This window comes from Homo sapiens, chromosome 1, assembly GCF_000001405.40.
Source record: "Homo sapiens chromosome 1, GRCh38.p14 Primary Assembly".
NCBI classification, from domain to species: domain Eukaryota; kingdom Metazoa; phylum Chordata; class Mammalia; order Primates; family Hominidae; genus Homo; species Homo sapiens.
Window position 1 is genome coordinate 25,014,817 of NC_000001.11, and position 14,613 is coordinate 25,029,429.

Here is a 14,613-nt window from a genome sequence, read left to right on the forward strand (position 1 = left end):
TGAATCACTGGGAAGAGTTTAAATGGTGTCCATCCCAGAATCAATTAAGTATATGTTTCAAAAGATCCCCAAGCTGGGCGTCGTGGCTCACACCTGTAATCCCAGCCCTTTGGGAGGCCGAGGCAGGCAGATCACTTGAGGCCAGGAATTCAAGACCGGCCTGGCCAACGTGGTGAAACTATGTCTCTATTAAAAATACAAAAATTAGCTGGGGATGGTCTCCTGTGCCTGTAATCCAGTCAGGAGGCTGAGTCAGGAGAATTGCTTGAACCCAGGAGGCGGAGGTTGCAGTGAGCCGAGATCACACCACTGCACTCCAGCCTGGGTGACAGAGCGAGACTCCATCTCAAAAATAAAACAAAAATAAAACTAATAAAATAAAATAAAAACAAAAATAAAAATAAAAGATCCCCTGTGTAGCTGGGACTGAGAATCACTGATGGGACCAAGCCTCTCATTTTACAGGTGGGATGACAAAGGCCCAGAGAAGGCAAGTGATGTGTTCTAGTCCGTGATACTAGACCTGGCTCTTGCAGTCCCTCTGACACTTTTCAAGGTCGGTGCTGAATGAATTAATTGCATCTAGTCGGTCAACCTGCTGCCCACCTTCAGCCCTGGCCCCTGGTCGCCCCAGGCCACAGCTCCTGAGCCCCCAGCCTGATTTCTTCTCCACGTTAACTGGTGCCTCTGCATTCAGAGACACAGGGAAAATCCACCAGGGGGAATGGTGGCAGGTGTGGGATGGCTTTGCCTCTGTCTCTGTGGGTTTTTCTTCCTCTTACCTCTCATGAGATGGCCTAGGAGGTGAAGAGAACAGTGTTCCTGGTGGAATGAGGACAGGCTGCACTTCTGCAAAGACTCTGGGGTGAGGGGGCTGGCGCGGAGGCTGAGACATGCTAGGGCCCCCTAGCCTGGGCTGTGTGAATGAGGCCAGTGGCACAGCACGGGTGCACTTGGCTTGGTGCTCAGTGGCCAGGCTCAGACCTCACCACTTCCATTTGCGTGTTAGGTGAGTGCATCCCTAAGCGCCCACCCTGATGGTCACCTGACTCTGGGAGGATTAGATGAGAAGAAGCCTGAGGGGGCTTCCCACAGGCCCGTGTAAATGCTGGCTATAATCACCAGGCACTGTCCCTGGGGCAGCCGTGTGCTTGCAAGTCCCCTGTTCTGGACTGTTCCCACAGCACTGTACGACTGTGGCCAAGTCCCTTCCTCTCCCTAAGCCTCAATTTTCTTCTCTGTAAAATCAGGGGTGATGATTTCTAGGGTCCCTTCCTGCCCAGTTGTTTGCGGTTATTTTTTGTCTGTTTTTAGAGAGTGCGATGTTGCAAGGTTGGGGCAGACAGAGTCAACAAGGACAGCACCGGCTGGGCACAGTGGCTCACGCCCGTAATCCCAGCACTTTGGGAGGCCCAGGCGGGTGGATCACTTGAGGTCAGGAGTTCGAGACCGCCCTGGCCAACATGGTGAAACTCTGTCTCTACTAAAAATACAAAAATTAGCCACGCGTGGTGGCGCACACCTGTAATTCTAGCTACTGGGGAGGCTGAGAAGGGAGAATTGCTTGAACCCAGGAGGCGGAGGTTGCAGTGAACCAAGACCATGCCACTGCACTCCAGCCTGGGCAACAGAGTAAGACTCCATCTCAAAAAAAAAAAAAAAAAAAAAAAGGAAGAGCAGCGCCCGGTTATCTGACCCTGGTGCTTAGGCACAGTCCATCAAGCAGTGCCAGCTGTGTTCCCATGCCAGACAGGCATGGAAGGGGTCTCCAGCTGGCTTCTCATTTCCGCACTGTGGTGTCTCCTGACCTGGGGGCCCTGGGGCCTGAAAGCCACTTCTGTCGGATCATCTCCGGCTCCCATTGGTTAAACCCCTACTGTGTGCCAGGGCCCAGGGTGTGCTGTGACTTGCTCAGCACTCTCTCAGGGTGGCCCCTGAGTCTCTGCATTTTGCCACACACTGCCAGACTTGGCTAAAATAATACTAAGGCTACCTTTTATCAGTGCTTCTGGGAATCTATGGTGGTTGGTTAAAAGCATGAACTCAAGAACCAACCTGTCCAGGTTAAGTCCTGGCTCTGGACAGTCCATCGTCAGCATCCCCGCCCCACCCGTGCAGAGCGGCCTTTCTCCTGTCCTCCAGATGGTTCCCTTCCCATCCTGTGGGGTGAGATGGGGCTCTGAGCACGGGTGGAACCCAGCACTGGGGGGCAGATGGTTCTTCTGGCCCCTTTAGGTGTCAAGTCAGGAGGGGGATGACTTCCAGTGGCTTCTCCCCAGAGGAAAGAGATGGGGTTGTCCTGGGGGCACAGGGATGAAGGGGGAGGGCTGCACCAGGCAGAGGTGGGTGTGAAGAGGACTTCATGGGGTCGAAGTGCCCCAGCTCCTGCCTCTGTAGATCCAGAGCCCCCGTGCCCAGCTCTTCCCTGGCCCATCACAGCACGCACAACCCCCATCAGCGATTCTGTCCTTTGGGTTTCGAGTCCATTTTTATCTTCTACAGCCAATTCACTGCATTAAACTCCTCAGCCTTGACCCTGGTCACAGACCAAGCCCTCATTGCTGACATATAGCCCCGGCCACACACTGAGCCCTGACCCTGGTCTCAGATGGACCCATAACCACAGCTGGAGTTCCGACCCCAAGCAGCCACTACAGAGATGAAGATGCAGGGCTGCACAGTCCCTGAGGCCAGCCTGACGGGTCAGAGTGTCATCCCGCATTGGTTCCAGGATCCACACCACAGAGCCCCCACTGGCCATCTGGAGATGTGGCACCTCCCCACTGTGTGGCCCTGGATACATCCCTCTGCTTGACCTCAGCTCCCGCCTCTAAATGAATGGATGACATCGAGAGACTTCCTGACTCAGAGCTGGTGACCTAGAAACTGTGAGGTACTCCTGGGGGTGTGGGCTTCAGGTTGTTCCCAGCTCTCACAGCCCTGGGCTAAATCCTCTCCACTCTCTTCCCAGCCTCAACCTCACAGTCCAGTGGTTAGGAACAGCCCCTGGGGCCGCATCCTAGCCAAGGGGCCTCGTAAGTTTCCTAGCCTCTTGGAGCCTTGTAAGTTTCCTAGCCTCTAGGAGCCTCAGTCTGCTGTCTGTAGGGTGGGGACTGTGGGTGTTGGGAACTCAGCGCAGGCCACGCGTGGGATGCTGTCAGAGCCAAGCCCAGCATAAGCAAAGGGTCAGGAAGTCAGAGCCAAGCACACTGGCCTTCCACAGGGCTCCTGGGCTTCGCTCAGCTCCAGTGGAGATTGAAAATACTGTAATTCCTTTTTCTTCCCTTTCTCATTGGGGACACTGAGGCCTAGAGAGGTCAAGCCCCGTGCCAACAGAGTGGGGGAAAGCAGAGCCTCATGTCCCTCTTCTCACCCCACCCCTAGCCTCCTTTGAGCTCCATGAGCCACCAGAACTCATCATAGCCCCAGGCAGGTCGCCACCCTTCCCTGAGCCTCTGTTTCAGCTTCTGTAAGAGGAGGGAGCAGGACCAGTGGGATATCTCCTGAGGACACCTCACTGCTACTGAAGAGGACAGGAGCATGCTGGGGTAGGAGGTCAGGTCTGCATGGCAGGCCTTCAGAAACCTCTGGAATGTGGGTTTGAAAGTTTGGGGGCTGCTCTTGCTACAAAGGTTCCCTGTTCTCCCCTCCTTTCTTTCCATGACATTTCACCAACTGTTTCTTCCCTTAATCCAAACCATCGTTTTTCCAGGGTGAAATTTAAATCAAAGCCACATGGCTCCCCCAACACACGTGTCCTTGCCAAATGGAAGCGTGTTCTGGGGAAACAGTAATGACCCTGCCGAAGGGGATTCTGACCTCTCCATGGGGCCCGCCAGGCAAGTGCTATGTGGCATTGAGAAGACCTGGGGGCTTCAAGTTGGCCCAACTGGGGTAGGCTTGGAGGTTTCCAGGCCCAAACATGGCTCCGCCAGGAGCAGAGGGTGAGCCTGAGTTCCTCCACAAGGAGGCCAGGAGGCCTTTTCCAGAGCCAGGAGCCTTCATCCTATGAGCCATGGATATGGGAGGTGCCTGAACCCCTGGGGTCCATCTGGGGAAGGGGTTTACACGGTCCTCCCAGTGAGGCTCAGTCATTGATATGACTTGAAGCATGGTGGTGGTGTGGCTGTATGAGAAAGAGACCTGGATTTGGAGTCTTGTTTGTGTCTGATTCTCACTCACTTGCTGTGTGACCTCGAACAAGTTCCTTAACTTCTCTGAGCTTCAGTTTCCTCATTGGTAAAATGGGGCTTCAGCTAGAAGCTCTCTCAGTGGTAACCATGATGCAGGCGAAGGGCCAGGGCCCAGGAGCTGGCGCACAGTGGAGCTCACAAAAGCAGCTGGGGGAACTGTGCAGAAGTGAAGCGGGGGCCTCAGAAAGGAAGGAGGGAGACGCCAGGCCTGGCATTGCAAGAGGGGCTGAAAGCAGTGGTGGGAGAGAGGGCAGACAGGGAAATCTGGGCACTGTGTGCAGCCCCCAGATATGAGAGGAAGCCCCTGAGTGGAGAGTCATGAGACTTTGGAAGGGGCAGAAGGCTTTACTGAGGGGAGGGGCATCCAGGGAGGAGGGGCCTGGAAGTCCCCAGGGGCCACTCTGCAGGGGCTTCCCTGGGCCTGGTCTCTGTTTTACATAGTCTGGCACTCCCAGGCGGGCTCACAACTTGGAGTCCTGGTTGGGGAGAGGGAGTCAGGAGAGCAGGAGGCAACCTCCCATACCCGCCATACACCAATAATCAGACACCCTCACTCCGGACCAAGCCTGGACACCTGTGGGGTGAGCACACTCATAGCTATAGGCCCACAGACTGAGAAGTACATGCAAATGGCCACATGCCAGACCCATATGCAAAACACAGACCCAGACAGGCCATGCACAGACCCACATTTCCACACCGGGGCCAGACCCGCATGCAGGAGTGTGCAGGCATGTGGATGCGTGCACACACACTCCCGCACATACATGCCTGCACACACACACACCTGCACACATACACATGCCTGCACACACACACACCCCTGCACACATGCATACATGCCCACACACACACACCTACATGCCTGTGCACACACACACCTGCACACACGCATACATGCCTGGACACACACGTACATGCCCGGACACACACATGCCTGCACACACACCTGCGCGCACACACACCTGCACACACACATACATGCCTGCACACGCACACATACATGCCTGCACACACACATTCACATACATGCCCACACACACATGCACACACATACCTACCTGCATACACACACCTACACACACATACATGCCTGCACACACACATTCACATACATGCCTACACACATGCATACACACATACATTCTTGCATGCACACATCTGCACACACATACATACCTGCACACACATATTCACATACATGCCTACACACACGTGCACACACATACATGCCTGCACATACACATGCACATGCATGCCTACACACATGGGTGCACACAAACGTGAGCACACACATGTGCTGAACAAGGCCCCAGGAAGCCTCCAGCACAGGCCAAGAGAACGGCTCCCTCTACACTCGTTTATTCACTCCACAAACCAACTGAGCACCTACCAATGTCAGGCACAACCCCTGCCCCTGGAACTCACACTCTAGTGAGAAAAATGTCAATCACGCCTATCGAAATAATGACTATTCCTCACACATTCACGAGATTTTGCTCATTTAACCCTCAAAGCAGCCCTCTGGAGTCGGGGGGTCTCTGCTGCACAGATGAGAAAATGGGGTTCTGAGAGGCGTGGCACCATGCCCTGCTCGAAGCTCCAGAGCCGGCGATTGGCAGCCCCACTCAGATGGGTCTGGGGAGGGCTCTCTACTTCCTCTCGGTGACTTCTGTCTCCCCTGCCCTCTGCAAAAGCGGAGGCTGTGGGGATGTGGCCCCTGGCGCTAGGAGCAGGCCTGCTGAGGGGCCTGGCTGCTCCCTCTAGCCCCACTGTGGCCCTGGACAAGCCTTTCTCTTCCCACCCCTGCTGCCCATTGCACAGAAGCAGACATGGAGTCTGAGAGGACAGTGGCCTCGTGAGGTGGCCGAGCTGGGCACTGCGTTAGAGACAGGGAGGGGGCAGCTTCTGCCACCCACATCCCCAGATCAGTCGGTCCATGAGTCCTCACTGAGCCTGGTCCTGGCTGGATGCTCTGCCAGGCACACAGGGACAGCCCAGCCCAGGGCCTCCATGTTGCTTCCCACGCTACCAGGCCCGGGAGCACCAAACTCCTCGAGTACCAGGAAGCGAGCCCGCACACACCTTAGCTGCAGGTCCTAGCACCCCCGCCTTTCCCAGCCTCATACTCTCTGGACAGACAAGAGACTCCCCCTCACCCCAGGACCTACAGCCTACGGAGGCCTGGAGCCACCCAGCCTGGGCCGCAGGGACCTCAGGGAGGGTGCAGACGGGGGACGGAGGGCACAGGCCAGGGCCCTAACACCAGGCAGAGCCGTCCACAGTGGGATCGCCCACCTCGTTGGCTGCCTGGAGCATGGCCACCCTGTCCTGCATGTGAACTCGGGAGTGGGGAGAGCAGAGAGAGGCGGGGGCCGTCATTCAGCCTCTTGGAACTATTCTTGTCAGTGCCTCGTTCCTGGAAGCCTCTTTGGGCTGGGCCCTGTGTACAGGCAGAGGTTGGTGTGGGAGGGGAAGGCTGGGGTGTGTGTCTCTCACTGGAAGCCCTTGGAAAACCCCTCCCCTCCTTCGGGGCAGCCCCTGCCCTCAATTTGCTTACAGTCTGTTCCAAGCTTCTCAATCCATCAGATCAACTAGAGGAACTTTATAAAATGCAGGTTCCTGGGCTCCTTCCCAGTCTGCTGAATCCTAATCTCAGGGCTGGAGCCCTGGAATCTGTATTTTTTCAAAGCCTCGAGACCTGGATGAGAAGGCAGCACTGAGATCCCCTGGCCCAGGTTCTGGCGACTGCTCATGATTATTTTTTGGACCCCGTCGGTGGGATGCTGTCTTATTTAATCCCATGTCCCTGCAAAGGATCCAGTAGATGCCAAATGAATGTTTGCTGGCAGTACTGGTGGGTTGGGCAGGGTATGGACTCACCTAGAGGTATGCCTGGACCTCCCCCGGCCTGCTGTGTGACCTTGGACAAATCACTGCCCTCTCTGGGCCTTGGCTTAGAGGGTCTCCAAAGGCAGATATTTAGTGAGCCACTGATGGTCACCAAGGGCTGCCCGAACATCCAGGAGGTGATCTTACTCCCAGCGTGGGAGGGAACCAGACTGGCCTCCAAGGCATCTCTGGGATTCCCTTAGTTTGCCTTCTGAAAAATGGGCCCGGGCCATGGAGGCATCCTGAACTGCACTGCTCTCGCATGGACAACAGAGAGGGCATTCTTCCACACCTAAGGGAAAGAATATTTACCAACCCCTGGGGCCGCCCCTGAACCCTGGCCTAGGCCTGAGGGCTGAGCTGAGGGGTTATGAGGACCCCTGGCCTCTCCCTTGCCCCTCCCCCTCCTACCCCACCCCCACCCCCTGCTGTGGGCGAGGAGCAGGTGCCTGGCTTCCACTTCTTAGAATCCCTGTGAGGCCCTGGGGTGGGGGTGAGCTCATTTACGGGAAGGGGGGGATGGGGGGCTCTCTTCTCACCCGGCCCTGCTGGAGGCGGGGGGGGACAGCAAGTGCGTAAGCAGCCCCAGCTCCCGGCCTGCCTCCGGAAATGCCGCCCAGGGCTCAGTCACGAACCTAGCCAGGCAGGGGGGCACAGCCAGAGCACTCAGGGGTGTCAGGTGACCTGCGAGGAAGCTTGGCTGGGGGCCTAGAGGCTGCACCGGGGTGCACAGTGAGGTCAACTTCCCCCTTCCTGGGCCTGCACCCTGACACAGGGGTGTGCACCCCACGGCCCAGCTGGATGTGTCTCCTGCTGTCTGCCTATCTGTCTGCTGTGCCCTGGCCCACCGTGGGCTCTGGGCCTCTGCTGGGCTCCCCTGGCACCCATGGGGCCTGAGTTCTCATCAACAACCTGCTTCAAGGGGTGCGTGTCAGGGTCCTGGGGTATGGGGGAGACCCCAGCCAGGTCCTGGTGCGGACAGCCCTGCTTCCCTACCCCCTCTCCCCTTCCCTCCCTCCTCCACTTCTCTCTGCAGCTATTTAAAGCAAGTGGTGGCGTGGGAAACTTCTTCAGATGTGTGGTTTCATCTTCTTCAGCACAGGGACGGGGCGTCTGCTCGCTCTGGTGACTCATCCAGAGTGAGAAAAGCCTTTTTGTTGTTTGATGCTCGCTGGAGGCTCTGTAGCCTGAGAACCTGGCCCGATGGGGCCTTCCCTGCTGAGACTCCTGGGAGGCCTTGGGAGTGCCCAGGGCAGCCCTTTTGTTCCATCCCCAGACCCAGGGAGCCCGGGACCAGTGGAGCCCCTGAAGCTGAAATACTCTGCTTAGAGTGAGCCTTCCTGACTGGTGGGTGGGGCAGGGGTGGCCATTCTCAACACCCAGCTCAGCCACCACCTCCTCCAAGAAGCCTCCCTGATTCCTCCAAAACCTCAGTCGATCTCCACCTTATTCAGTCCTCTAACCCTCAGTCTTCTTATCTATGAAATGGAGCAGTGGGTCCAAGCTTCACAGATCTGTGTGAAGATAAACTGCGGAACACACACAGATGCTCAGTAGGTGAGATTCGTGGTAAGATTTATTGAGCATTTATTGTGTGCTAAGTGCTTTACATGAATGGTCCCATTGAATCCCAACAGCTTTGCGAAGTGTTGTTGGGATTCAGCAGGACCATTCGTGTAAAGTAATATTCCCATTTTACAGATGAAGAAACTGAAGGATGGGGAGGGGGTCAAGTAATTTATACATTGTCTCATAGTTAGTAAGCAGCAAAGTGAGATTCAAACCTAGGCCATGTGATGCCAGAGCCCCAGCCTTTAGCCACTGTGCCAACCTGTCCCTGGCAAACGTAACTAATAAGGATTTGGACTCAAGGCTATAAAGGGCATGCCCCTTCTGTTCAGAGGCTTTGCACATGCTCTTCCCCTGCCTGAAGCACTGACCCTTCCCCAATTGCCTGACTATATCCTCCCCAAGGCTCAGAGATGGGCTGGAAGGTCACTTCCTCCAGGAACTTTCCAGGATTGTCTCTGTCAGGTACCCTGGTGACGCACAGCGAGTCTCTGTGTACTCACTACCACGGCAGCTAAATCACTGTTTCCGCCTGTGTCCTCACCCAGACTGTGAGTGTCCCCAGGGTAGAGATGGGTCTGGCCTCCCATTGCCCCATCCCCACGGCAAGCACAGTCTCTGGCACACAGTAGGTCCCCAAGGTTTGTGGACTGAATAAGTACCACCAAGGTGGCCAGAGGCTGGGAGAAGCCTGGAGCACCAATGGCCATGAAAATTTTCCAGAAGCTTCTCTGTCATTATACAGAAATCCCTTTGATGCCCCCTGGAGAACACAGGCCTTGAAACTGCTGCCTGATGAGGGTTTGGGGGAGACAGGCGGTCTCAGAGTAGCCTACTCTCCCAGGGCAGCTGTGCCACGGGCTATTGGAGATCCCGGGCTATTTGTGATGGCCTTGGAGCATTATGGGAGCAGGGAGGAAGGTCCCCTGTCCTGCTGCCACTCTCTGCTACCCTGAAGTCCCGTAAGAAAGGACCACTCAGCTCCATCCTTGGGAGTCGAAAGATCACCAGGGCCAGAGAGAGGTTCTGGGAAGAGGTGGGCACAGAGAGTCTTGGGGGTCCAGGGTCTTGGAGGAGCTGGGGTCCCTTGAGTGATGGACTTCAAAGTGAGGCTGGGCTGCCCCCATTGAAGGAACAGCAGCCGCCATCTAGAGATGTCCAGTGAGTGCCTCGAGCACTGCCATTGATGCAGACAGCTGTGGCCTCAGACCTGGATCCTGGCAGCAGAGGCCATCAGTGGACCACAGCGTGCTTCCCAGTGGCCATGCCAGGGTGGGTGGGGAGCAGCTTATCTGACCACAGACCAGCCATGCCAGCAAAGGCGCTGCCGTTTCTGCCCACATAAGGGCTACAGTGGCTGCAGCAGCCACGCCAACAGGGGCAATGCAGTGTTCAGGGGGTGCAGCCAGGCCAGCAAGGGGGGAAAGGATAGATGACCACGGAAGAAGCCACAGCAGCAGCCACGCCAGGTAGGAATCATGCAGAGGAGCAGGGGCACACCAAGCAGCAGTGCAGCTGGCCTTGGAAACAAATACTGCCTTCTGACATCAAATGCTCTGAGGACGGTTGAGGGGCTTGGGCTTCGGTGCCCACCACCTGCCATCACTGCTGCCTCTTCTGTGGGGTTCTCCTGGTTGCCCTAGAGGCCTAGCAAGAGGCAGCACGGGCCAGGGAGGCACGAGGGGGAAACTGAGGGCAGGAAGCCAAAGGATGGCAAGAGAGAGGCTGGGCCGCTGCACGGGGCCTGGGGGGAGTGGGGAGAAGGAGGGCCACCCTGGACACCGGTGTCCTCAGACTGCTTCTCATGCCCTCCTCCTCCCTCCAGGGCTTACCCTGCCTGTGAGCAGAGTCTGCTGCTATCCCGGTTCCACAGACAAGGACAGAGGGGCTCAAAGAAGTCTGGGAATGTGGAAGCCTGGGGATTTGGAAGTCGGCTGGAGCTCTAGCTGCCGGCCTCTGTCATTTGGGTGTGTTCTTTATTACTACAGAGCGATGCTGCAGAGAAAGAGGGCATGAGGACTGGAGATGGCTGGCCCTGGGCAGACCTTTCAGGGCCTCAGTTTCCTCACCTGTGAAACTGGACACTTGGCCTCCACCATCCCCCAAGGCTCTCCCAGCTCAGTGGTGCTACAATAGGAGGGATGATATGTGGCCAAAGGGAGGGGAGTGGGTGGCCAGGACAGGCTGCCCTTTGCTGAGGCCTTTGTGACTCTGTTACCCCAAATGGAAGCCAGAGAGGTAGAGTGACTTAGCCAAGGTCATACAGCAACTCACTGGGGGGTTGGGGAAGGGAACCCTGCTTGACTGGGCGGGGCAGAACCTGGAGGCTCAGGCATGTTGGGGAAGGATGGGAGACTGCAGCTGAGAGTCCTCACTCCCAGCCCGTCTTCTGAAACACAGACGCTGGGAGAGCCATCTCCACCAAGGCCAGAGCTGCCTGTCTCCAAACTGAAAGTCACAAATGCACTGAAAACTTGAGGCCCTGCTCTGCCCATTTCCAACTTTCTGCCCTGGCCCCAGAATCATAGGCATCCCCCCATTGTACAGAGGGGAAGGCTGAGGCCCAGCAAAGGCAGGGGACTTGTCCAAGGACTCCCAGGGAGGCCATGCTAAAGCAGGGGCTAGCATCCTGACTCTTGGTTCCCTGCCCAGTAGTCCCCACCATCATCGCCAAATAATAATAATAGTAATAGGCCAGGCACAGTGGCTCACACCTGGGATTCCAGCACTTTGGGAGGCTGAGGCGGGTGGGTGGCTTGAGCCCAGGAGGTCGAGGCTGCAGTGAGCTGTGATTGCACCACTGCACTCCAGCCTGGGCAACAGAGCTAAGACCCTGTCTCAAAATAATAATAATAATAATAAATGTATCGAGGGCCCTGGAAATCAGCTCTGGTCTGTCTGGGACTATTCACACCTGTGCCAGCCAGATTCGATTCCTGCTTTGATCCAACCCTTGCCTTACGGTTCAGCCTTGCCAGCCTCAGGGATGGGGCACACTGTGTGCTGTAGAGACTTGGACACTACCCATTGCCAGCCAAGCTGCCCCCAGGAAAGCCCTGAGTGTCAGTGCTCTGTTAGGCCTCGGCAGGGGGCCAGCAGCTGTCCTCCAGAAGCTTTCAGCCTAAGAAGGAATGGTTTGCAGTTCTTTTCCAGCCCTTTATAGTTTTACAGAGCAAAGATTTCTCCTCCAAGCTCATTGCATCCTCATGCCAGCTGGGAGGGTGGACAAGATAGAAGCCACAGGCACCTGCTCTGCTTAAAATAAAAATTTTTTAAAATGTTCTTTAGCTTTTCTTTTGGTGCTGGGGTTCAGGAGGCTGGTCCTGCAGAAGCAGAAGTGCTTATGACGAGCTTCCCTGGAAATCCCAGAAGGGAAGTTTGGGAAGGATTCTGAGACAGCGGGAAGCTGATGATTTTGAAGATGAGAGACCTGTCCAGGGTCCCACAGTGAGTGTGCAGAGCCAGCAGGGGAGGCTGGTCGGCCGTGCCTCACCCAGCACTCAGCTCTGATCAGACGTGGAGCTGAGATGACCAGGGCCTGACTTGACCATGACCTCAGGAAGATCCGGGCAGTCAAGTCTGGGATGGAGACTCGGAAGCCTGCCTAGTTCAGAGCTGCCCGATCAGGCGAGGGGAATCCCAAGGCCAAGTAGTGATGGGAATGCAATGCCCCCTCCCCAGCCCATTCTACATCCCCTGTCTTTTGCATATGACTGAGAACCTCTGACCTGAAGCCCTGGCGGGATTCCAGTACAGCCCAGACAAAAAATTTCCCCTGTGGTTTGAAATGGATCTCAGCCATCACTTCCTGTGCCCCATGGGAGGTGGGAGCGGAACAGGGGGCCAGAAAGGGGGTGACCTTGTTGTCAGGTTCCACAGATACACTTGGGGGGCTCTGGCGTGAGAGTCTGTCCACTGAGGGTTCCACCCTGGCCAGGTCTATCTGTGTGACTTCTGGCAAATCCCTCTCCTCTGAAATGGATGGGACCTAAGGGCAATTGTCTGGCAACTGTGGTTTTAACTACTTTGTCCTCCTGAGGGACCAGAAGGGACGTAAGACAGAAGCCAAGCCAGGAGGTATTGGGGAAGGACTAAGGTTTTGAATTGGACAGTCTGAAATCAAATGCTGGCCCCACCACTTACTTGCTGTGTGGCCCTGGGCAAGTGACTTCACCTCTCTGAGGTTCCATCTCTGCATTAATAATACTAATAATAATCACAGGATGTGAGCCCCGTTTTTCTGCCAGACACTCTTCCAAGTGACTCCTCTCTGACACGGCCCAATCACCCTCTAGGGTAGAGGCTCTGAGGATCCCAAGTAGGAGACGAGGGTGTGAGGTTTGGCATGAACACTGCCCGCCCGACTCCAGATGCCCTGGCCTTTGCTGCCTGCCATGCAAGAGGCGGTCTTGCAGATGAAAGGAGATCATTTGAGAGAAGTTTCCAGCTCCCTGTGCTCAGTCATGGAAGTTGTCATATTATTGTCACCGTTACTCACTTTCCTCCTTTCCCTGGTGAGGGCCGGCCCTGCCTCGTAAGTCCAACTCCTGCCCACTGCTCCCCATGGGGTGCCCACCGCCTCCAGCTGGGAGCCTCCTCTGCACTCTCTGTCCTCCAAAACCCATGGATGTGCCTCCAGGGGGCAGAGGTCTGGGGGCCCTTCTGAAGGCCTGTGGCTCAGCCCCCTCATTTCAGAGGCAGGGAGAGGCCACTTCCCAGGACCCCACAGTGGCTCCAGCACGTGCAGCCCCCCAGCCCCTTCTTCCTCTTCTTTCTGGGTCCTTTCCCAGAGTCAGCTGCCTCCTGCCACCAGGCAGCAGGGCCACTGGGGATGGCTGGCTAGGCTCTTGGCTTCGACACACATGGTGGCTTCATCCCTGGGTGGAGCAGTTGCTTGCCTGCAAGATGGCTTCTAGAATGTCTTCCCTGCGTGCCGGAAAGTCCACCATGAGCGTGCCATCCTCCAGAGTCAAGCACGCAGCATGGTACCTGCTAAGCTCCCCAGGAAAGATGGGAGCTGGGAGACCTAAGAGGGCATGGGGGGTGCTGCAGGGGAATGAGGTGGTCAGAGCCCAGGGCAGGGTCACAGAGTGGCATCTGAGACTGAGGGCAGCCACCAGCAAGGTGAGTTTGTTCCTCTCCTCTCTGCTGGGCCCTTTGGGTGCCCCTAGGCTCTGCGGCGGGCACTGGGGTTTGAAATATGGGCAGAAAAGATGAAGGCTTCTTTCCTCCCATTCTCCCAGTGCGCACGCCTCAGCTGGCTTCCTCATTCACTCGTGTTCACTCGGCAAACATGTACTGAGCACCTCTGGGGGGCCGAGTGCCTCTGGGCCCTGCAGCTCGCCTGAGTCCTCATCCGAGTCCGCACCCCACCTCCGTCCTCTGCAGGTCCCCTTCTCTCCCTGACTCTCCTCCGCCACCCTCATCAGCCCCAGGGCTCGGGGAGCTGGGACAGAACCCAAAGAGAGATGAGCTCGTGGTCTCAGCTGTGAAGTTGGCTTTGGTTTTTCGGTTGCAAATCACACCCATATTAGGAACCGGCGGGAAGGAAGATGACTGCGCCAGAGCCTGTGTTTTCTGGAAACACCGCAGGGCGGTGAGAGGTTTTCCAGGCCCTGCCTCAAGCCAAGAGGCAAGATTTGAATCACTGAACTGTCATGAGGTGTCTCCCAAGTCCTGGGTCCAGCATTGCTCCCTGAGAGCACCAGGAAGTAAAATGCCCTCAACACAGAGGTCCCCTGAGACCCACAGAGAGCCCACGAAACACTCACCGAGCGCCGACTTGGCGCCAAACCCTTCCCATTCACTTGGCCATTTAATTTTCAAAACCTGTTGTGTGACAAGTGGTGACTCTCACTCCACAGAAAAGGAAGCCACTCCACTCTTGAAAAGGATGCCAAGCGGCACCCCCGCGGCCACACAGCCAGCAGCCCAGATCTACCTTCTCCAAAGCTTGGCT

The 14,613-nt window shown here is 56.3% G+C and overlaps 1 non-coding gene across 1 annotated transcript, besides 16 other annotated features; it reads left to right on the forward strand.

The window, feature by feature from the left end:
* Positions 4,207-4,316: an enhancer, noted in NCBI's record as "active region_430". NCBI's record gives its function as "activates an Ori minimal core promoter by ATAC-STARR-seq in GM12878 lymphoblastoid cells {active_cell/tissue: GM12878}" and the evidence as "EXISTENCE:reporter gene assay evidence [ECO:0000049][PMID:35858748]".
* Positions 4,407-4,476: an enhancer, noted in NCBI's record as "active region_431". NCBI's record gives its function as "activates an Ori minimal core promoter by ATAC-STARR-seq in GM12878 lymphoblastoid cells {active_cell/tissue: GM12878}" and the evidence as "EXISTENCE:reporter gene assay evidence [ECO:0000049][PMID:35858748]".
* Positions 4,517-4,676: an enhancer, noted in NCBI's record as "active region_432". NCBI's record gives its function as "activates an Ori minimal core promoter by ATAC-STARR-seq in GM12878 lymphoblastoid cells {active_cell/tissue: GM12878}" and the evidence as "EXISTENCE:reporter gene assay evidence [ECO:0000049][PMID:35858748]".
* Positions 4,634-5,530: an enhancer, noted in NCBI's record as "H3K4me1 hESC enhancer chr1:25345941-25346837 (GRCh37/hg19 assembly coordinates)". NCBI's record gives its function as "activates a minimal SCP1, AML or CMV promoter by ChIP-STARR-seq in naive H9 embryonic stem cells {active_cell/tissue: H9 hESC(naive)}" and the evidence as "EXISTENCE:reporter gene assay evidence [ECO:0000049][PMID:30033119]".
* Positions 5,789-6,317: an enhancer, noted in NCBI's record as "H3K4me1 hESC enhancer chr1:25347096-25347624 (GRCh37/hg19 assembly coordinates)". NCBI's record gives its function as "activates a minimal SCP1, AML or CMV promoter by ChIP-STARR-seq in primed H9 embryonic stem cells {active_cell/tissue: H9 hESC(primed)}" and the evidence as "EXISTENCE:reporter gene assay evidence [ECO:0000049][PMID:30033119]".
* Positions 6,318-6,844: an enhancer, noted in NCBI's record as "H3K4me1 hESC enhancer chr1:25347625-25348151 (GRCh37/hg19 assembly coordinates)". NCBI's record gives its function as "activates a minimal SCP1, AML or CMV promoter by ChIP-STARR-seq in primed H9 embryonic stem cells {active_cell/tissue: H9 hESC(primed)}" and the evidence as "EXISTENCE:reporter gene assay evidence [ECO:0000049][PMID:30033119]".
* Positions 6,335-6,444: an enhancer, noted in NCBI's record as "active region_433". NCBI's record gives its function as "activates an Ori minimal core promoter by ATAC-STARR-seq in GM12878 lymphoblastoid cells {active_cell/tissue: GM12878}" and the evidence as "EXISTENCE:reporter gene assay evidence [ECO:0000049][PMID:35858748]".
* Positions 7,323-8,885: an enhancer, noted in NCBI's record as "RUNX3P2E2 fragment for enhancer region 2". NCBI's record gives its function as "Epstein-Barr virus responsive enhancer" and the evidence as "EXISTENCE:reporter gene assay evidence [ECO:0000049][PMID:26883634]".
* Positions 7,785-8,314: an enhancer, noted in NCBI's record as "active region_434". NCBI's record gives its function as "activates an Ori minimal core promoter by ATAC-STARR-seq in GM12878 lymphoblastoid cells {active_cell/tissue: GM12878}" and the evidence as "EXISTENCE:reporter gene assay evidence [ECO:0000049][PMID:35858748]".
* Positions 8,687-8,770, forward strand: MIR4425 (microRNA 4425). Its single transcript, NR_039623.1, has one exon. It is a non-coding gene; the product is annotated as a microRNA 4425 (primary transcript).
* Positions 10,316-10,989: an enhancer, noted in NCBI's record as "H3K4me1 hESC enhancer chr1:25351623-25352296 (GRCh37/hg19 assembly coordinates)". NCBI's record gives its function as "activates a minimal SCP1, AML or CMV promoter by ChIP-STARR-seq in primed H9 embryonic stem cells {active_cell/tissue: H9 hESC(primed)}" and the evidence as "EXISTENCE:reporter gene assay evidence [ECO:0000049][PMID:30033119]".
* Positions 12,628-13,167: an enhancer, noted in NCBI's record as "H3K27ac-H3K4me1 hESC enhancer chr1:25353935-25354474 (GRCh37/hg19 assembly coordinates)". NCBI's record gives its function as "activates a minimal SCP1, AML or CMV promoter by ChIP-STARR-seq in primed H9 embryonic stem cells {active_cell/tissue: H9 hESC(primed)}" and the evidence as "EXISTENCE:reporter gene assay evidence [ECO:0000049][PMID:30033119]".
* Positions 13,168-13,705: an enhancer, noted in NCBI's record as "H3K27ac-H3K4me1 hESC enhancer chr1:25354475-25355012 (GRCh37/hg19 assembly coordinates)". NCBI's record gives its function as "activates a minimal SCP1, AML or CMV promoter by ChIP-STARR-seq in naive and primed H9 embryonic stem cells {active_cell/tissue: H9 hESC(naive and primed)}" and the evidence as "EXISTENCE:reporter gene assay evidence [ECO:0000049][PMID:30033119]".
* Positions 13,247-13,296: an enhancer, noted in NCBI's record as "active region_435". NCBI's record gives its function as "activates an Ori minimal core promoter by ATAC-STARR-seq in GM12878 lymphoblastoid cells {active_cell/tissue: GM12878}" and the evidence as "EXISTENCE:reporter gene assay evidence [ECO:0000049][PMID:35858748]".
* Positions 13,706-14,245: an enhancer, noted in NCBI's record as "H3K4me1 hESC enhancer chr1:25355013-25355552 (GRCh37/hg19 assembly coordinates)". NCBI's record gives its function as "activates a minimal SCP1, AML or CMV promoter by ChIP-STARR-seq in naive H9 embryonic stem cells {active_cell/tissue: H9 hESC(naive)}" and the evidence as "EXISTENCE:reporter gene assay evidence [ECO:0000049][PMID:30033119]".
* Positions 13,706-14,287: a biological region, named in NCBI's record as "H3K4me1 hESC enhancer GRCh37_chr1:25355013-25355552".
* Positions 14,198-14,287: an enhancer, noted in NCBI's record as "active region_436". NCBI's record gives its function as "activates an Ori minimal core promoter by ATAC-STARR-seq in GM12878 lymphoblastoid cells {active_cell/tissue: GM12878}" and the evidence as "EXISTENCE:reporter gene assay evidence [ECO:0000049][PMID:35858748]".